Here is a 22,580-nt window from a genome sequence, read left to right on the forward strand (position 1 = left end):
ATGTTTCTTAGGTTATTTTTGATGAGAATAAAGGATCCAGTGTGTAATTTTGACTGCTTGTACATATTTAGTCTGTTTTGTTGTTCTGGCCATTCCTTTTTAGTAGCAAGCACTATAACATTCAGGGAAATTTTCAATAACTAGTAATGCACATCTTAAAAATGTTCTGACTGTTTTCACTTCTTATGAAATTTAGACTTATTTGTTGGAACTCCAATACAATTTCTAGTGAAACTATGAATGGAAATGACATTTATGTTAATTTGAGAAGTAGGTTCTTTGCAATATCATTTTTTATCCTATAGCAACATTTGTCTCTCTATTCAAGCCTTCTTTTCTGTCCTTTTGTGGAAATGTTATGGTTCCCTTCATATAATAAGGTCTTATACAGTATATTCCCAAGTGTTTGCATTTTATCCTTGTCTCATTTCTTGATTTAAATGGAATGCCCCAGGTATTATACTATCCAGTTTAAATGCCCACTATTGCTATTTAGACATTTTAAATTAGGAATCAATGTTGAAATAGTTAACGACTTTTTTTGTCATCTCATCATTTGTTAAAAAATTTTTTGACTTAGTTATATTAGGGGTTAAATTTAGAATCCCTTATATTGGCACTAACTTGATCGTTTTTTAACAAATCCTCCTATGATAATGTTTTGTATTATTACATGACTTTTTTGAATAACACAAGTGCAGTTTTGTTACATAGATATTTTGCTCAGTAGTAGCTTTTAGTGTAACCATCACTTGAATAGTATACATTGTACCACTTAAGTAATTTCTCATTCCTTACACCCTCACATCCTTCCACCCTTCCAAGTTTCTAATGTCTATTATTCCACACTCTATGTGCATATGTACATATTATTTAGCTCCTACTTATAGTGTGAACATGCAGTATTTGACTTTTCGTTTCTGAGTTATTTCACTTAAGAGAATGGCCTCCAGTTTATCTCCATTGCTGCCCAAAACAAGACATTGATTTAATAATTAGGATTTCAGATTTACATTCATATAAAAATTTGTCTTTAGTTTTTTCTTTTCCTGTCTTTCGGGGGGTCAGGTGTGGGCATCAGTTGATGCTAGATTCTTGATTTGTAAAGCATTCCATCCTTTTCAGTGCTCCAGAGAGAAAATATTTGAAAGAATTTACGTGTGAGCTGGGTTTGGAATGATTGTTCTTAAAAATATTTTTAAATGTCCCAAATATTTGCTGACAGATTTATAGAATGTCTAGGATTTGCTTAAAAAGAGCCTCAGGAACAGCATGGAGGGAGGATCTGTGGGAGTATTATAAAACTCTGAGTATATGGGCTGGTTCCTTGTACATTGTTTTGCTTTTATACATGTTTGACATATTCAAAAAAGTTTCTAAAAATGAAATCACCTGCAAAATGTTTTCAGTGGTGGTTACAGATTTTCTAATGCCTCTAGTAATTTTGGTAATTTACATATTATTAGGAAATAATGAGAGTTTAATATTCTTAAACATGTGTTTTTATCAAGTCTCCTGTGTCTAATATAGTGCATTTCTGTTTTATCTCTTAATGAGATTAGAATTTCACTTTAAAATCATCTTTCTAACTCACAACTCTGATCAGACTACCTACCTGTGGGCAACTGCTTTACTTACTCAATCGAATTTGGAATGCGGTGGCGCGATCTCGGCTCACTGCAAGCTCCGCCTCCCGGGTTCACGCCATTCTCCTGCCTCAGCCTCCCGAGTAGCTGGGACTACAGGCGCCCGCCACCGCGCCCGGCTAATTTTTTGTATTTTTAGTAGAGACGGGGTTTCATCGTGTTAGCCAGAATGGTCTCGATCTCCTGACCTGGTGATCCGCCCGCCTCGGCCTCCCAACGTGCTGGGATTACAGGCGTGAGCCACCGCGCCCGGCCGAATTTGGAATTTCTTGTGGGGTAGGCAACAAAGCCTTCATGCGCTGACTCCAGGTGCCTCTCAAACCTGAGCCCCAGCTTTGTTTTCTCCTCCATTTTCCCACACTCCTAAGAGACACTTGGAAATTCTTCCTCCTCAGCCTGGGGTGCTGTCAGCTGTAAAACAGTGTCCATCTTCTCCAAGACCCCCGGAGAATGCTGTTTCTCTTAAGCCTTCCACAAATTCCCCCTTGTTTTATCTTCTGTCCCTTCTCTGAACCACATAATGTTTTGTTCAGACTGTGGTATAGCCTTAATTGTACTGTATGACGTTTGCATGTTTGGAAACCCACCTTGTTCTTTTTTCCACCTACTCTGCTAGCAGAGGCCTTTGCCCTCAGGTGGCATGGGGAGAATATTTATAGGGTGAGCATGTAGAAACAGGCTGCGTATGTGCCTTAGGCCAGCAGTCTTGTTGTATGTCTGCAGCACTGAAATAGGTGCTCGTTAAATGTTTGTAGGATGAATGCTGAGTGAATGCAGTGGACAGGATACAGGCAGGTGATTGGGAGCCCAGTAGGACTGACCCCGGTGGGATTAGTAGAGAGAAGTAGTGGGAGATAACTTGGGGTCATGTTGTCATTCACAGTTTGTGGATGGGAGCAGGTAGGGCTGGTGGTGACTATAGGAGGCACAGAACACGTACACAGCTCTTGCTCTTCAGAGGTTACCACAACAATGTGTATCTTTTCCAACTCATAATTAGTAGAAATGATGTTTGTATTAAGGTAACAGAAATATGCTCCTAAAGTACTTTCTCATTATATCCAAATCACTTTATCATCATTTGTTTTACTGTAGTTACACCACAATGTAAATAAAAGCATTTAGAAAGACAGTTGTCTGAACTTCAAAGCTGTTTACATAGAGGACATTTGCTAGACTGGGCTTTTCCTCCATGTACCCTTGGGTGAGCTTGTGGTCTTCCCCCTAAAGATCACAGGCTATTTTACAAGTTTTCTTGTGAGCTGTTCAGCTTTCTTATAAGCATGAGTTACACCAGGGAGTTCATTTGGGTGGACAGAGTCCAGAAATGTCCTGTTTCGACTGGTTTGTTTAAGATGGCCATCAACATGTGAGGTAGGGAATGTGGACTTTCTATTATGGGGCTTTTTAAGACTCTAGACCATCGTTCGAATTAATTTCGTTAGCCAAAGTTTTAGGCCTTTTGTCCAGTGTGCTCATTTGCTTCTTGGTTTGCTGGTATTATTCAGATCAAAGAAGGTCGGTCACTGGAGGAAAATGGCCAGCATCCATAACAATGTGTACAGTTACTGTTGTTTAATTGAGTGGATTTCCTGTTTGATAATTACTATTCTGTAGTTCTTGTGTGTGTTTTGAGGATGAGGGAGGAGGGACATATATGACATTTGTATATTTGCAGGTGAAAGAGAAAAAAAAGGCCTAAAGAAGGGGAATAATTAAATATGCTTTTAGATTGTCAAGCTTCCTTTCAGTCCTATGCTCTGTGTGTTTGATTCAAAGCTATTTAGAGAAAGTCATCATTTGACCCCTGTGAGATTTCTTCCCTGTTGTGCTTCAGGTCTCAAAGAGCTTCCCCAGATAAATTACAGGCCATTAATTGTTACCACCAATTATACTGGCAGACATCAAAATGATTTTATTAAAGAGCTGTCCAAAGATGTAAAAGCCTATCTTGACAAGCATGCAGCCATGGGCAGTGTAATCACTCGGGAGGCATGATATAGAGGGAATTGAGGCACATGTGGAACCTTTGGTCTAGTCTGACTTTCATCACTTTGTGCAACAGAATATAGAATTGGGAAACTCCATCTAGGAAGCAGAATTCTGATCACCTGTATACAGTTCCAAAGCAAGGGTTTGAATTAATCATTTCTGCATTTCCAAGACCTAACATGGCATGATGTGGAAGCAATAGATATGTATGGACTTGGATCTAATTCTGAATAATTGATTATAATTATCATACTCCAGGGAAATTTGTAAGGGCTGCCACACTGAGGTTGTGCTTGCAAATATGAAGTGCAAATTGGAATTAATTATCCTGGTCTTTTTTAGGGAAATACTTTCTTTTGTCAATCCAGATGAGTGATGAAAAAGTACCTTCTGGATTTGAATTAGCTGGATAATTCTTGACTTTGCTCAAGCTTTAAACTGGTAGGAGCTTTAATGGCTATTAATTAGTGTGAAAGCTTTTTATTTTCTGAAAAAACTTTTTTTTTAAAAAAAAAAGAGAAATCCATCTTGATTGACAGATGGATTCCTCTGTTTTATGTTTTATTGTTTTTGAAGAAAGGAACTTTGATTTCCTGCCAGGGAGCTTTCATAAAAGGACCTTAGCATGCTGAGCCCTGATTAAACATCAGGGAGACATGATGATTCTTTTGTATAGCTCTCCCCTCAAAGGTGAAGAGGCCTAAATTACAGTGACTGTAAGAGAGGTATCTGCTGAAGGACCATGTTCAGCTATAGGAAAAATTGGCCGTGGCATAGACAGCAGTAAGATTGGGATGCGAATGTAATTTTCCTCTATCTTATGAATATTTAAAGAAAATTTGTAGAAGCAAGGGCCATATTGCTACTTTATTTATTTATTTATTTATTATTTTTGAGATGGAGTCTAACTTTGTTTCCCAGGCTGGAGTGCAGTGGCACAATCTCGGCTCACTGCAACCTCTGCCTCCTGGGTTCAAGTGAATCTCCTGCCTCAGTCTCCGGAGTAGCTGGGATTACAGGCACCCGCAACCATAGCCAGATACTTTTTTTTTGTATTTTTAGTAGAGACAGGTTTTCACCATTTGGTCAGATTGGTCTTGAACTCCTGACGTCAAGTAATACATCCGCCTTGGCCTCCCAAATTGCTGGGATTATAGGTGTGAGCCACCATGCCCAGCCCATAATGCTACTTTAGAGAAGAGAATATCCGGTTAAGCTAGAGAGTGATATAGAGAATTTACCCACATAACTGAAAACTTTTTATAAGATAAAATAGAATTTAATTTTTATTTTTTTTTAAGGATCCTGCTAATTTTAGCAGATTTTATTTATGCCACATGACAAGTGTTTGTGTAATTAAACAGCTCACTTTGTTCTGAGTTTACTATGTTTGCTTCCCAATCTTTTATTGTGGAAGTCCTACTTATTAACCCTGCCTTCCCAAATCAGTTATGAAGATAAAGGTGTAAACTAAAAAACAAAGCTGGTTTATGAGCAAGGTTGAGTACCAGAAGGAATGGAGTTCCCTAAATTATAAGAGTTTAATCTCCAGTTTTAATCCGTAGATGTACCCTGACTGCCACTTATTAGTCACGTGGCCTTGGGCAAGGTTTTAACTACTCTGAATCTCAGTAAAAGTATATAAATGAGATAATAATATTTACCCGGAAGAGGGGTTGTGACAACTCAGTAAGATAAAGTGCATAAAGGGCCGAGCATGCTCTGGATTTTATGGCATTGCGTGTGGCGACAGTATTGTAATGTAATGACTTAAAAATAAAACTAACCAAGGAGATTCTAATCGATGATTGGATCATTGTGCTCCCTGTTAGGCCAAGAGATAAAAATAAATTACTAGAGAATTTTTGGGTCAATGGCAATTCTTCTTTTAGCAAGTATAAGATGAATATGATCATATATCCTTTACTTACTTTTGGCTTGACACAAAACATATGCCTAAGCTGATCAAGAATTGCTTAGAAAGTAAACGCCAAATTATTTTTTCTGTTTCTCTTTTTTTCTTGCCTTCATAAACTGAATTATTAATATCCTATCTGCTGTAATTTTTATTTTCTGTGTAAAGGAGAATGGTCGTAGTCTAAATATCCACCTCTGAGAACTTAAAGGTGGGTCAAATGTTCTAAAATTACAACACCTTTGCTAAAATGTCAATTCTGACTATTAAAAGTGAATATTAACTATGTTGAGATCAACTTAATATGCTAAAAATGAACTATATTTGGGTTGCTATTAATTAATGAGAAATAGAACAAATTAAGTTCAAGAACATTAAAAATCTACCCAACTTTACATATTTATTTACTTAGTCATTATTTATTTATTTTAAATGATAGACTTTGTGTCTTCGATTTACAAAAAAATTGATTGGGAAGTTCAGAGGTTCCATAAACTCCCTCTCACCCTTGCCTTTAGTTTCCCCTAATTAACGTCTTGCATTGATAATACTGTAAACCAAAAACAAAATTCTAAGCCCCTCAACTGACTGATGGACCCCCTCTTGGCCATGAGTATTCCAAAGTAAACTTGAAAAGGGAGTTCAAGCCAGGATGCGAAGAGGGGTCCAGTGTGCCTCATTATACTCTCCTCTCTTTGGAACTCAGACACAACTGATCAGCATTAAAGTTAAAACAGAGATCTTAAGACTGAGAAAACAGATTCCTTGTAGCAATAAGATACCAAATTCCAACCTAATAATAATAAATCTAAGTGACTTTTATTATAAATAATAAATTGGTTTTTACATATGGATTCATAGTTGTCACCAAATCAATACATCTTTACAAGTAAATCACAGCTTGGGTTCAAACAGATTCAACTGCAAATCTTAAAGAAATATATTGACCTCATAATAAGCTAAACTGTACTTATTCTCACTTAACCACTTTGTGAAACAGTTTATCTGCTGGTTATTTTTAAAGGAAGTAACATATTATGTAGCATCTACAGTTTAATGATGTACATTCTAGAGCATTTGTCCTTAACCCCAGCAGCAGGTTACCACCACTTGGAAAGCTTTTTACCAGAATATCCAGAGCCTGTCTCCCCTGCAGGGATTCTGATTGAAAGAGTCACTCCACCTCCCTCCTCTTTCTCAGGTAGTGCGGAGTTTCCCCAGGTGATTGCAATGTAGACCCAGCATTAGGACCAACTACATTTGGGTCTTAAAAACCTCAAAACTGATTGAAGCCAAGAGATATTAAAACAAATTATTTGAAATAGCTGTATAAAAATCCATCATAAAGAATTGAGTGCTTTATTTTAAAACATAAAAGCTCATGGCTTATCAAATATTGTTCCCAAATTATAAAAACATGAAGCAAATATAGGAATAACATGAAACTGCCCTCCCTGCCCTACCCTTATGGGTACATGGGTACATTCCATGCAGTAGCAAAAATGTATAAATATCCTAAATGTCCACCAATAGAGAAGTGATTGAATAGGTGTCATGTATAATCATAATAAGAGCCGTAATAGTATTTTAAAAGGTTTAAATTTTAAATATATCTCTATGTACTGAAATGAATTATAAACATTATCAGTTAGAAAGTAATAAGACAAGTTAAAGAACAATTTTTTTTTGAGAGTTTAGCTCTGTCACCAGGCTGGAGTGAAGTGGAATGATCATGGCTCACTGCAACCTGGCCCTCCAGGGCCCAAGTGATCCTCCCACCTGAGCCTTCCAAGTAGCTGGGGCCACAGTCACACACTACCATGCCTAGCTAATTTTTAAATTTATTTGATTTGTAGAGACAAAGTCTTGCTATGTTGCCCAGTCTGTCTTGAACTTCTGGGCACGCGCAGTTCTCCCACCTTGACCTCCCAAAGTGTTGGGATTACAGGTGTGAGCCACCACAGGGCTGAGTCACTTTTTTTTAAATTGACTTTTCTGTCAAGCAGAGTGGCCTACGTCATGACATGGAAAATTTAGTCAATTATGGTGAACAACCTAATAAATATTTAATTTTGTGTGCAGACAACCTCCCTCTCCATCTGTTCTTCTCCTCCTCAATGTTTCTAAAATCCCTGCAATACCAATCTAACAAAAGTTGGATTCCTCTCAAATGGACCTTGATCATGTGCCTAAGAATTAAAACATAATAATCCTTTGAGAAACATCTATGAAAGATGCAGTATGAAATGTTGAGAAGTGAGTTTGTAGCTTCCATACCATGCTTCGGTTGAATTTCATTTCCAAATACCCAGCGGCCGTTTTGCATGGTGTAGCTGGGCTATGGAGCCCAGGCTCCTCATGATGGGTTGGGTGACTGAAACACATTTTTTTCTTTTAGGTGATAACCAGCTCCTTCATCAGGCTTCTCTTTCCCAAGTTTAGGAAGAAGTTGACTACAATGTATTTCCCTAGCATGCCTGTTCCCTTGAACAAAGGCAGGTTCAGGAGTGTAGTGAAGCTCCAGGCTCCAAAAACTCTTTCACTCTCATTGCACTCTATCCAATGTTTCTTAATGCTAGGCACAGCAGAATCACCTCAGTTTATTCCTCAAAAATGATGGTTGAATTTATCTGGCCAGGCATTGGTAGTTTACAGAAGTCTACCAGATGATTCTAATGTGTGGTCAAGACTGAGAACTATGTGTTTAATTGGGTTCATTTCAAGAATACTGTAAAAATTTTATCTAAATACTAAATATCCATAAAAGAAACCTCGGTAATCAGGCCAGGTTTTTGAGTTTTTCCAGATTAGCCCAACTACAGGGGAAAGAGACTTTCGCACTATATCCCAGAGTCTCTGCTCCTGCTTCCAGCCTCAATGCACTGGGCCTTTCTGCTGCCTTGGAGCACTTAGAGGGATTACAGGAGGAGTGATCTGTGGAGTTTTATCTGCTGTAGACAGGACCTCTCAGTGATGCATGCAGTCACTGCCCAGGGTGCAGCTGGGGAAGTCACATACCGTTTCAACTCAAACTGGTACACTGCAATTCAGTTCTCATAACCATCTGGAGTTAGTGCAGACCCCATAAGTTAAAGAGTATGGTCTCCAGCAAGATGGTCCTCGCTTCATACTCAGAGGCTGCAAATCCCTGAGCTTCCCATGACGTTCCTGAAGCTCAAAAATTCACTAGAATGACACAGAATTCAGGAAAGCATTATACTTACAGTTTTATTGTAGAAGATACAACTCAGGAGCAGCTGAATGAAGAGACACACAGGGCAGTTTCTGAGAGGGTCTCAAACAGAGCTTTTGTGCTCTCTTCTTGTAGAATAAGGGCTTGTCACTATTACCTGGAAAAAAAAAAAAAGAAAAAGGAAACAAAAAGACAAAAAACTTGGTTCATTTGCCTGGCAAGTAACAAACGACTCTCCAGGAGAACATAGGTTTTGATCTATAGGAGTTTTATTACTTGTCCCAAGGTAGGAGAACACCGGGAATATTCTCCAAAGCAGTGTCTCCCCGAGGAAAAGTGACAGGTGGGTTTTATGGAGTTGTGGAGAGGGGAGAAGGTGCATCATCGCATGTAGAGGAGGGGCACCAGTGGTGCAGACTGAGACATTATGCCAGCACATAGGTTACATGTTATGGTGATGAATCTGTAGCTCCTCCCAGCGTAGAGACTTTAGCATGGTAATGAGGAAGCTTCACTCAGATTCATCTATAAGTTGCTGGGGTCTGTCTGGAACTGGTTCCAGCTGACTAGGTGACTGCATTCCATGGACGGTTTGTAAAAAACAGGCTGAAAAGTGGGAGGCTATAAAACAGGCTGATTGTTCAAGCTGGTTAAACTTCTATAGTCCCTGGAGACCCTCCCTGTCTGCTTACATCACTTTCCTGGCACATTGATGTATTCACCAAGCGGGAAGTTTCAGCAAACTTCCCTGTTCATTACATAGATGTAATTGATTAAACATTGGCCCCATTATTGAACTCAAGCTCCAACTCCCTCACTTTTCTGGAGGTCAGGCTGGTTCAGAGCTTTAACTCTCTAATTACATGTTAGGTCTTTCTGTTGACCAGCTTCCATTCTCAGTCATCTCATCTCATGAGCATAAACTCAAAAGTTTGATCCAAGGGATCATGAATATCAAAGACTCTTCTATTACCTGGGAAATTCCAAGGATATAGATTCTGTCTTCCAGGAACCAGGTTCAAAGGCCAGTTAAATTCTTTATTATGCAACAAAAGATTTCCCTGAAACCAGACTTAGAAGTCTTGAAAGAGATGGGGGATTCAATTTCCACACAATCCCTGGGCTCTAGAACAAAGGCTGTCATCACTGTCCTCCCCTGGTCCACCATTTTGGGTTGTGGTCCCTCTCTCTCCTTGGGAACTTTTTCAAGAATCAGTATTCAGTCTTCCAGGGGCTCTTCATTTTACTTCTATACCTTGAGATTTATCACCTGACGGTGCCTATTCTTGGATTTCCACACCCACACTCTTTTTACTATTCATTCTCTAAAAGCCCAACTAAACAAAACACAATCAGATGAACCTCATCGTTCCCCCTTTTCCCAATAGTACTTAATTGCCCATTAACAGGAGATGAAGTTTCGGAAGATACTCACTCCCATTCTTAGAGAGAAGGAAGTGTTTATTCTGCATGCACTTTTAAGAAACCAGGCAGAAAGCTTTTTTGTTTCATTGTTCAGGAGAGATTATGACTAAAAACAATGCCATTACATCTCCCATTAAAAAGAGTCTGAACTCTGGGCAATTCAGGATAAGGCACGTGTATAAGCCATTCTTGTGTTGCTATAAAGAAATACCTGAGACTGGCTAATTTATAAATAAAAGAGACTTAATTGGCTCATAGTTCTGCAGGTTTTATAGAAAGCTGGATGCTGATATCTCTTGGCTTCTGTGGAGGTCTCAGGAAGCTAACAGTCATGGTGGAAGGAGGTGAAGCAGGAGCAAACACGTCAGATGGTGAAAGCAGGAGAGAGAGATTGAGAGAGAGGAGAGAGAGAGAGAGGAGAGAGAGATTGAGAGAAAGAGAGAGAGAGAGAGATTGAGAGAGAGGAGAGAGAGGAGAGAGAGAGAGAGAGGAAGTGCCATACACTTTTTAATGACCAGATCTTGTGAGAACTCACGTCATGAAGACAGCACCAAGCCATGAGTGACCCACCTCCATGATCCACACACCTCCACCAGGTTCTGCCCCCCAGCATTGGGGATTTCAATTCTACATGAGGTTTAGCTGGGGACAAATATCCCAACTATATCAGCATGTAATCTACTGCTTGACATAGGTAAGAAGTAATTCTTCACAATTATTTCAAAACCATTTCTGAATTTACTTTGGAATCTAAAGTTAATTTGGAACAATATATTTTATCAAATTAGCTCCAAAGCGATATTTACTCATGCATCATCCCTCTGAAATGTACTCTGCAGGTTGTATGTTGTACAATCTTAAGTATTTCAATTACCTTTAAGCAAAAACAGTACAAGAAAGGATTAGTCATTGCTGAAAATATTATAGATCACATAGATTCATTTCCAGTTTTCAGTGTTGTTTTTTAAGATAGTAGGTGTTTGATAGCTTCTAGTCACCGTCCAAAGGGTCATGGTCTTTCTGATCTTTTTGTTCAGAAATTTGTTCTTTCTGGTCAGGCACGGTGGCTCATGCCTGTAATCCCAGCACTTTGGGAGGCCAAGGCGGGTGAATCACAAGGTGAGGAGTTCAAGACCAGCCTGGCCAAGATGGTGAAACCCCATCTCTACTAAAAGTACAAGAAAGTTAGCCAGGCGTGATGGTGGGCACCTGTAATCCCAGCTACTTGGGAGGCTGAGGCAGAGAATTGCTTGAACCCGGGAGGCAGAGGTTGCAGTGAGCTGAGATCGTGCCACTGCACTCCAGCCTGGGCAACAGAGCAACGCTCCATCTCAAAAAAAAAAAAAAAAAAGAAAAGAAAAAAAGAAATTTGTTCTTTCTGATCACATATGACTCAGGATATAATGAAAGAGGATCAAGCCTCTAAGAAGGGTGGACTGAAGCTAGCACAACAATATGCCTGCTATATGACCATGGCAGACTTCTTCCTAGAATCCTTCAGATCCACGATCTTATCTAATTATGTATAATTCCCACAGCAGCTCTGCAAGATAGATACTTATGTCCCAATTTTGTAGATCAGAAAATTGAAGTTAAGGAGATATGTTCATTAATGAATAAGATGGTAAGTAGTAGACATAGGATTCAATTATTATTATTATTTTATTATTATACTTTAAGTTTTAGGGTACATGTGCACATCGTGCAGGTTTGTTACATATGTGTATACATGTGCCATGTTGGTGTGTTGCACCCATTAACTCATCATTTAGCATTAGGTATATCACTTAATGCTAGGGATTCAATTATTTTGATAATTCAAGTTTCTTCCAAAGTGTCCTATGAGTAATTGTTTCTACGGTACTCTATACAACATATACTTTCAGGCACCTCTTCTCAGTTGGTAAGTTTGTAAAGTGTTTTCCTGATTGGTACAAGATGAAAGTGTATGCCCAGCAGGTTATTAAAGGTAAGCTAACTATAAGAGTCATTCATTCAGTATATTTTTTATAGAGTAGCCTGTATTTCTGCTACAAATGATGTTGGCATATATGAATTACACTCATTGTTTTTTCTATTTAATAAACACTGAATTATGTTATTCTACAATAATGGCATGGTGAAGATGGTTAAAAGTAGTGACAGAAAAATTTGACTTTTTAGAAGCCTCTAATTTGTGAAATTAAAGGAATGATTTCTTCTACCATGAGGTCATAGATATTGAAAACCATTTGGATATTGTTTAAACCAGTTTAATTTTATATAATTTATTTCATGAGCTTTCAAGTCCGTATCTCCAATGATCATACCAGACAGATCCCCAATTCAGAAGTTATCTTGCCTCTGACAGTGCTTACAACAACTAATAACCAGGTTCAATGACAGTGATCCAGTTTCGGCAGGTACTATAATTGCAGATTATACTGTTCATGGTTTCTTCTTTGTGTGAATAGTAAGTGTATGAAATCTTCAGTCAACATTTCCTTTTCTGTTGCATAAACAGTGCTGAAAGCTTAATGATCAGCTGGAGAAGAGGCGTAATGAATAGTTGCAGCATTGTTCATTAAACACCGTGGTGGTTCTTTCTTTGCCATCATTTCATCTGTGCTTGAATTTTGCATTTCCTTCTATTCTGTCATTCTCCTTAAGCATCGGACACTCCCTCCGTGGTAATTGCTGTGACACACATAAAGCTTCTATCATACAACAATGGAAATGTCTCTCCTTCTCCTTGAGCTCATTTTATTGGAGACACTGTACTTTTGAGGATGGCAAATCTATGGAAAGTGACTCATCCAAGCATACTGTAATAGATGGAGAGATTTCTTTAGATATATGTGGCCTTTTGTACAATTAAGCACTGTATTGCTTTTCAGTAAATTAAGAGTAAAATTTTAAGTAAATTGGGTTTGGAATTGGGATTTGCAATTTTTTGCTATAATTTATTTTAGATCACCTATTACTTTTTTGGTAATTTTGTTTCTACTCTTACATACCTTGTGTTCTACATATTGACAAATCATGCTCTATTTGATGAATTACATCTTTAAGTTATTGGTATGTTACTATAGGTAATGTTTTTGTATCATCTTCAGTAGCCTGTTAGCATATTATGACAACATGCTATTCCTATCTCCCCAGGGCCAAGCCTCAATTAACTGCTGACACTAAGAGGCCTTCACTCCAGAAGTAGATTCCAAAACACATGTTGCAATGAATAGAACTACTTTGTATTTCACCCAAAACATTTAAGCCATGGCTGTTTATTACATTGTGTTATTTTATTCATGGATTAAAGCTTTGGAATTTGGTAAAGGAAAAGATTCCCAGAGACTGCTATTGAAATTTCCTAGTACCCTTTGGTTTAAAGTGTAGAGGAACAATTTTCCAGATAAATATGGAATTCGCTTTTTTATGTTGTTCTTTAGAGAGCTTTAGCCTATTTGGCACTAAGTATAATTATCTGCAAATATGAGTTTGTTTGGCAAGATATTCATGTGTCCTTAGGTATTAATATGTCATTTTGGGGAAAAAATAACTCAATGGAGTTCTGTCATTATATGAATAATTTGTGATGAGTAATTTCCTAAGCAACATCAGAAGCACCAGATGACGATTTTTGTTTTTAGTTTGCAAAATGCATTTATTGTATAAGGATGAAAGGTAAGTAAGGAAAAGATAGGTTTTAGTAGCTGAGAAACTTTAGAGTCAGGTTATACTTAGGTGGATTTAATTGCCATACTTTGTTATAGTGGCTAAAGTAGCCCATTTGTCATCTGTGACCTATTTCAGGGAACAACAACAACAACAACAACAAAGAAACTGTGGATAACATCACCCCCTCCCCACCTTTGTTGTTCTTCTTGATGCCTATTTGACAGAAGGATTGAGCACTTTCTGTTTCTGTTGCATGGGCCACTCTCTCTGAGACTTCTCCCACAGTATTCATATCCCTGCTTCAGGACCACCTCCTCTGAGGAGCCTTCCTGACCAACCTGTATAACCCTTTGTTACACAACCCTTTGTTCCTCCTTGGAGTCACTTTCACTGTCCAGCTTCTCAATTTACCCAGCTTTTTTTCATTATACTTTTCAGTGCCTGAACACACACACACACACACACACACACACACACACACACACACACACACAGTTTCCTGTGTTAAAATGGTTAAAATGTCAGCTCTCTGGGGGGAAGGAACTGGTTTGTCTTACCCAGTGTTATGTCCCCAATTGCACAGCAGTGGCGTGTTTCAGTTATGGTCCTGCCTGTGTTCACCATGTAAGTGGGCAGACATGATAGAAGGAGATCTATTATACTTCCTTGTGTTATGTGCCTATGGAATAGAGGGAACAGTGGAGAAAGTGAATAATTATACCTGGGACCTGGGGAAAAAACTGAAATGAGAACTGACATGTTAATATATGTCAAAAGATTGAGAAGAGGCTGGGGAGAAATATAAGAAAGGAGAATTTCACTCGGAGTAACTTGGATAAAATCTCTGAGTTTGAAAAGAGTATGGAACATTCAAGAAACAGTGAACCAAACTGTGATTGGAGTTCTATTCCCAACAGTTGCATAAGGGAAACTGAAATGAGGTGGGTCTGGAGAGGTAGCTTAGAATTAGGTTTTGAAGGAGTCTCTGTAGGTTACTAAGCATGATCAGCTTGGTGTTTTATGACTGTATTCTGATAACTGTGAAAGATGGATGGGAGGGAAGCAGGAAAGGGGTCAGGAAGTAGACAGTGTAAGTGAGGATGGTTGTGTGTACAGAAGTGAGTGGGAGAACCACAGATGGCTCACAAGAGAACATGTGAGAGAGACCCTGTGTCAGCTACAGTTTGTATTAGTTGGTTGATTAGGGATATTATTTTGGTTTTGCTCCGTAAGGTGGTTGGGGCCGAAGCTCTTTCTAACTCACCACCCTGCTATAGTCAGGGTATGGGCCTTGCTGTCATGGTCCAAAATGGTGATTAGTGCTTTACCCTCCACATCTGTTCTAGGCAGCATGAGGGTAGGGTCCAAAAGATGAGGGGAGGGGAAGCCATGTGTAAATTGTGTTTAAAAAATTATTATAAAAAACACATAAAAAATTAATCATCATGTCATGTGTACAGTACACTAATGTTGACTCTATGCACATTGTTGTGCAACAGATCTCTACAACTTTTCCATCTTTTGCAGAACTGAACCTCAGTTCCCTTTGAAAAGTTAGACTACTTTAGATAACTCACAAACATGAAATCGTGAAACATTTGTCTTTCTGTGGCTGGCTTATTTCGCTTCACATAATGTCCTCAAGGTTCATCCATGTTGTAGCATATAACAGGATTTTCTTCTTTTTTAAGGCTGAACGAATTCTATTGTATGCATAGAAAACGTGTTCTTTAACCATTCATCCACGGATGGACATTTAGGTTGCTTCCACCTCTTGGCTATTGTGAGTAATGCTGCAGTGAACATGGGTGTGCAAATGTCTCCTTGAGGTCCTGTTTTCAGTTCTTTTGAATATATACTCAGGAATGGGATAGCTAGAGGATATGGGTAATTTATTTATTTTTTTTGAAGAACCTCCGTATGTTTCCATAGCAGCTACACCATTTTACATTCACAACAGTGCACAAGGGTTCCAATTTCTCCACATTCTTACCAACATTTATTATTATTATTATTTTTAATAATGGCCATGATATCTCATTGTGGTTTTGATTTGCATTTCTCTAAAGATTAGTGATGTTGATAATCTTTTAATATGCTTGTGGGCCATTTGGATATCTTCTTTGGAAAGGTATTTATTCAAGTTGTTTGCACATTTTTTATGGAGTTATTTTGTTGTTGTTGAGTTGTAGGAGTTCTTTATATGTTCTGGATATTAACCCTTTATTAGATATATGATTTGCAAATATCTTCTCTCATCCTCTAGGTTGCCTTTCACTGTGTTGACTGCTTTCCTGTGCAGAAGTTTTCAAGTTTGATGTAATCCCATTTGTCTGTTTTACTATTGCTGCCTGTGCTTTTGGTGTGATAGCCAAGAAATATCGCCAAATCTAATGTTATAAAGCTTCTCCCCTGATTCATCCAGTAGTTTTATAGTTTCTGGGCTTATGTTAAAGACCTTAACCCATTTTTAACTAATTTTTATATATGATGTAAGGCTAGAGTCCAACTTTGTTCTTTTCCATGTGGGTATCCAGTTTTCCTGATACCATTTGTTGAAGAGACAGTCCTTTCCCTGTTGTGTAGTCTTGACACTCTTGTTGAATATCATTTGGTCATAAGACCTGAGAGTTTATTTCTGGGCTGTTTCATTCTACTGCTCTGTATGTCTTTCTTTATGCCAGTACTGTTTTGATTAGTGTAGCCTGGTAATATGTTTTGAAATCAGGAATCATGAGGCTTGCAGCTTTGCTTTTCTTTCTTTGTTTTGGCTATTCAGGATTCTTTTAGATGTCATAAGAATTTTGAAATTAAAAAAAAAATTTCTGCAAAATGCCATTTGGATTTTGAAAGGGATTTCAATGAATCAGATCTCTTTGGGTAGTATAGACATTTTAACAATATTAAGTCTTACAATCCATGGCCATGGGATATCATGCCATTTATTTGTGTGTGTGTGTGTTTTTTTTTTTCCAGCAATGTCTTATAGCTTTCAGTGTACAAATTTTTGCCTCCCTGGTTAAGTTTCTTTTCAAGTATTTTATTCTCCTTGATGATATTGTAAATGGAATTGTTTTCTTAATTTTCTTTTTTGTTTGTTCATTGTTAGTGTGTAGAAACACAGACAATTTTTTAATGTTGATTTTGTACGCTGCAACTTTGCTGAATTCGTTTATGAGTTCTGACAGTGTGTGTGTGTGTGTGTGTGTGCATGCATGCATGCATGCAAAAATTTTAAGGTTTTCTACTTATAAAATCATGCCATCTGTGAACAGAGATCATTTCACTTCTTCCTTTTCACCTGTTGGTGCCTTTTAGTTGTTTTTCTTGTCTAATTGCTCTGGTTAGGACTTCCAGTACTATGCTGAATAGAAGTGGTGAGAGTGGGTATCCTTGCCTTCTTCCTGATCATAGGGGAAAAGCTTTGAATTTTTTCTTGTTGAGTATAATGTTAACTGTGAAATTTTCATATATAGCCTTTAATATGCTGGGTAATTTTCTTCTATTCCTAGTTTGTTGAGCGTTTTTATCATGAAAGGGTACTTAATTTTGTCAAATTCTTTTACTGTATCCATTGAGGTGACCATGAGATTCATTGTCCTTTATTTTACTAATGTAGCATATCCCATTGATTGATTTTTCATATGTTGAACCATCCTTGCATCCCAAGGATAGACCTCATTTGGTAATGGTGTGTAATCTTTTTAATGTGCTGTTGAATTCAGTTTGCTAGTATTTTTTTAGGGATTTTGAGGATTTTTGCATCAATATTTATCATAGATATTGGTCTATAGTTTTATTTTATGGTAGTTTCTTTGTCTTGTTTTGGTATTAGGGTAAAAATGGCCTCATAAAGTAAGTTTGAATGTTTCCTCTTCAAGTTTTTAGAAGAGTTTGGGAAAGGCTGGTGTTAATTCTTCCTTCAGTGTTTGCCAGAATTCTCCAGTGATGCTGTTTAGTCTTGGGCTTTTGTTGTTGTTGTTAGGAGATTTTTTTATTACTCATTCAATAATCTTACTAGTTATAGAGCTGTTCAGATTTTCATATTTTCATGTTCAGTCTTGGTAAGTTGTATGTTTCTAGGAATTTATCACTTTCTTCTAGGTTTCCCCGTTGCTGGTGTATGATTAGTTATAGCAATATCTTATTCATCTCATTATTTCTGTGGCATCAGTTGTAATGCCTCCTCTTTCATTTCTGGTTTTTGTTATTTGAGTCTTCTCTCTTTTTTCTTAGTCTAGCTAAGGGTGTGTCACTTTTGTTGATCTTATTAAAAAAAAAAAACCCAAATCTTACTCTTGTTGATTTTTTCCTATTGTGTTTCTAGTCTCTATTTCATTTATTTCTGCTATGATCTTTATTATTTTTTCATTCTGCTAACTTTGAGTCTAGTTTTTCTTCTTCTTTTTCCAGTTCCTTGATGTATAAAGTCATGTTGTTGATTTGATTTTTTTTATAGAAATATAGGCATTTTACTGTTACAAACTTCTTTTATATTAATGCCTTTGCTATATCCCATGGATTTTGGTATGCTGTGTTTTCATTGTAATTTGTCTCAAGATACTTTCTAAGTTCTTTTATGATTTATTTTTGACTCATTCATTGTTCAAGAATGTATTATTTTCATCTATTTGTGAATTTTCCAGTTTTCCTTTTGCTGTCGATTTCTAGTTTTATTACATTATAGTCAGAAAAAGATGCTTAATATTAGTTCAGTCTTCTTAAATGTGTTAAGACTTGTTTTGTGCTATAGGATATGATTTATCTTGGAGAGTGTTTTGCATATGCTTGAGAAGAATGTGTATTCTGCTCTTATTCTGTGGAGACCTCTGTATATGTCTCTTGGGTCCAGTTGGTTTGCAGTGTTGTTCACATCCTTTGTTTCCTTATTTATCTTCTCTCTGATTATTAATGAGTTGTCTTTTTTGTTTTTTAGAGTCAGTTTCACTCTATTTCCCAGGCTGGGGTACAATACATAATCATAGCTCAATGCAGCCTTGAACTGCTAGGCTCAAACTATCCTCCTGCCTTAGCCTCCTAGGTAGCTGGGACTATAAGTGTATGCCACTATGCTCAGCTGATGGTTTATTTTTATTTTTATTTTTTGAGGAGATGGGGGTCTCATTATGTTGTGCAGGCTCCTAGTCTTGAACTCCTAGCCTCAAGCAATTCTCTCACCTTGGCCTACATGAGTTGTCTTTTAAGGAGTGTTTGCAGAAGCTCTTTGCAGTACATTGGCTGAATCTCATTAGCTCTCTTTGGTCATGCTTACATGCAAAAAGGCTGGAAAATGTAGTCCAATTCCAGGTATCGTGCACCTCTAAAAATAAGGATTATATTCAGAAAAAGTGAAGAATAGATAATGGGGAGCAGACTGCATTGGGTCTAACATATTAGATCAGAATCTAATATTTTTAAGGTACCGAATGTATATCCTATCACATCTTGATTTGGATGAGGCTTTTCATTTTATAGATGGAGGAAACTCTGAAGCCTTCCCTTGTGTGTCTGTGATATATGAGCTTTTAACTTCTCATTTATGAAGTTACAATAGATATATAATTCTTACCTTATTGTGTGTTCTCTAAGAAGCACAGTAAAAATAAAATGAAGCTTTAAAAGTTTAAAATGATACTGCAGGGAATTCAAGATGAAAAAGATATACAATGCCAAATTACTTCCACCCATGTTGTTACATACCCTATTAACAGCATGCACAAGAGACAATTCTATTTCTAGATTTTAGCACCCCATTTCATAATTTTTACTTGTGACGACCAGAGAATATGAAGTAGGAAGATGGCCTGTGGGGAGATATTATGCATTTTTGTTATTGAATCTCACCACTAAAAATTGTGTTTAGTAATCACTTCTCCATCACCTAAAAATTGGTAACAGGTAAAATTGAAACAAATTTCAGTAAGATAATTTTGTCATTGGGTACCTCACTTGAAATGTGCATTTCTGAGTGGAGAGGAAGATGGATGATTCTAGGCAATTTATACTAATTTCTACGTGTGCATCTATTAATTTTTGAAGAAATACTGTTAGCGAAAACTGTAAATGTATAAAGTGGTTCTGATCACAGTGGAGGAATGGAATAAAAATTAAATTGAAAGCCTCTCATGTCAGGCTAAGAGATCGTTTTAAAATCATCATGCTTATTTACAAAAGCTCTGTGAAACTGGTCTAAGTTAAAGAAGAAAGAAAATGAGTTTTAGATTAGAAGTGAGTTATGGCCCCTGCTTTTCCTAGCAGTATGTCCAGTTTATTCACAGTGTTCTCCGCAGTTCTGGGGCATTCTGGGGAAATCTGTTCAGGAATAACCCATGATATCTTCTTGGGGCTTGGAGAGAGTGGTAAACAGACATACTGTGGGTCAAACTTTGGGATATCCATCCTCTTTCAACCACAGAGTTAGACATTGATTTTTACATATTGAACTTCTGCATTAGCATTTCCCTGGAAAAATAAGTAGTTCTGAGGCAAAAGAAACAAACCATTGGACTAAATCATGCTGCTTTTATCTCTCCTCCAACAGAAGACTACATTTTAGAAGTCATTTTATCAAACTTTAGATCTTCTCATCCTTTTCCTTCCCACCACCTCTTTGTAGGCCTAAAATTTCATGAGTTATTCCTATACTTTAAAATATATGCTTGGTAAAGGAAGATTTATCTTTGAGCAAATGAATAATTCAGAGGCTAGAATTTCCCTGAGATTAGTTTACAAAGTGAAGACTCCAACCCAGAATTCAAATTTCTAGGGCAGAAAAGATGTTTGTGCTGTTTCCTCCACATAACAGAAATGCGACTGCGTTTTAGTGCTCATTGTGAACACGTTCTTGGAAAAAAGAGGTGGAATGCAAGTCCCAGCAGAATAGGCACATTGTATATGACAGATGCTACCCGCTTTCTGAAAAGACTCATAGTCCTCAGTTTTTGATGTAAGTAGGACTCATTACATCAAATCTCTCTTTAAGTTTTAAATAAACATAAAGTTGTTTCCAAAATAATACACCCCCTCTATAATTAGGTGGAGAAAACAACTGTTATCAGCCGTTGACTACACAAGATCTATATCAGTCCTTGATGCCTTCCTTGAAAATTCCATTTTTCTTATACATGCTTTGGATTATCTTAAAATTAGCTAGATTTGTTTTACATTGTGAAGATAAAGATTTCTCAAGTTTCCCAACTCTGTTGAGTCAACATTGAGCCCCTTATCTTTCCTCAATTCACTGATCTAGCTGCAATTTCTCATGCAATTTCCAATTTTGTTTATGCCGTTTGAGGACCTCACATATACCAGGTGGACTTTCACATTATACTAACACATAAGGACTACGAGGACAGCAATAACTGTATCCAGATAGCCAATGAATAGTGAATTCAGCTATGATATAATTATCAAAATATAAATGTACAAGTGATTCTTTGATTAGTCTTTTGAGGATTAATAACGAAAGAACCTAGAAACATTAATATTAATCACATTAGTTTTTAGAACATTAAAGTTAGAGTCTTCTAAATAAGAACATTTTCTACCGGCCAGTTTGTGTTTTCTCCCTATAACCTCTATTTTTGTGTCACATAATTTACCTTATCACATGGACATATTTTACACTTTACATCTCTTATTTATTTAAATTACACAAGTAGTAGTTGCATTAATTGCTGGGCATGGTGGCTCATGCCTGTAATCCTAGCAACTCTGGAGGCTGAGGCAGGAGGATTGCTTGAGAGCTCAAGACTAGCCTGGACAACATAGAAAGACCATGTTTCTACAAACATGAAAAAAATAGCCAGGTATGGTGACACATGTCTGTAGTTTCAGTTACTCAGGAGGCTGAGGCAGGAGGACTACTTGTGCCCAGGACTTTGAGGCTGCAGTGGGCTGTGATCTTGCCATTGCACTCCATCCTGGGCTACTCTTAAAAAATAATAATAATTTGACGCATTAAGTTTTTGGGTTGTATGTGCCATCTTTAACAATTCAGGCTTCCCCCTTACTAATCTTGTGGAAAGCATCTCCTGAAATAATCTCTTCCAATTTCCGACTAAAATGGCATTGAAGAGAGAAAAAGATGAAATCTTGCAACTTCCATCCCATTTCCATTGCATACCAGCAGGCAGCCTACTGCCTGGATCTGAAAGGGGATCAATGTAAAGATACTCTGCCTAGATTGTGAATAAAGCAGAAGTGACTTAACTTTCATAAGACCCATAAAGTAGACCAGTCACACTGCCCCAAGAAAGGAAGAAAAACATTTCAGGCCATTGTTGTTTGCTGCTGGCCTCTGAGGCCAAAGGCTTCATCAGCTAGAAAACAATGTATCTCTTACCATTACAATCGTGGTGCTTTATACTGTAGTTAAGGTACATTCTTCCACTGATGATTTTTTTCTTACATTTACTCACAGCTTCCACCTCCAAGAGGAAAGTGGGGGGTGCTCTGAGGAAGCATGGGAACTACAGATGACTTACCACATTGTGACAAGTGTAGTCTCCACAGTTTTGGGGCTGTGACAGCAAGAACGTGATTGCAGGTGCAGGTGTGCTGAGATGGTTATGCTCCAGTACTGAGAGCCATAGGACAGGAGAGGGAAGGAGAAGCTTCTACCCCCGTTTAACAGAGCCACAGTGGATGAGTGATTTCTGTTCACCAGACACGCCTGTGACATCTACCTGTTTTTAACTTCAGACCTGAGAAGGTGATTTAACAGTCACTCAAATGGCAAGTAAGCAGACAA

General features: G+C 37.6%; 1 protein-coding gene across 24 annotated transcripts in view, besides 1 other annotated feature; it reads left to right on the forward strand.

The window, feature by feature from the left end:
- The window catches only part of NRG3 (neuregulin 3), a 1,111,986-nt gene that overhangs the window by 46,410 nt on the left and 1,042,996 nt on the right, over positions 1 to 22,580 (forward strand). The gene's annotated exons all lie outside the window — the stretch shown is intronic.
- Positions 21,862 to 22,442: an enhancer, noted in NCBI's record as "OCT4-NANOG hESC enhancer chr10:83703221-83703801 (GRCh37/hg19 assembly coordinates)". NCBI's record gives its function as "activates a minimal SCP1, AML or CMV promoter by ChIP-STARR-seq in naive and primed H9 embryonic stem cells {active_cell/tissue: H9 hESC(naive and primed)}" and the evidence as "EXISTENCE:reporter gene assay evidence [ECO:0000049][PMID:30033119]".

This window comes from Homo sapiens, chromosome 10, assembly GCF_000001405.40.
Source record: "Homo sapiens chromosome 10, GRCh38.p14 Primary Assembly".
Classification (NCBI taxonomy): Eukaryota; Metazoa; Chordata; class Mammalia; order Primates; family Hominidae; genus Homo; species Homo sapiens.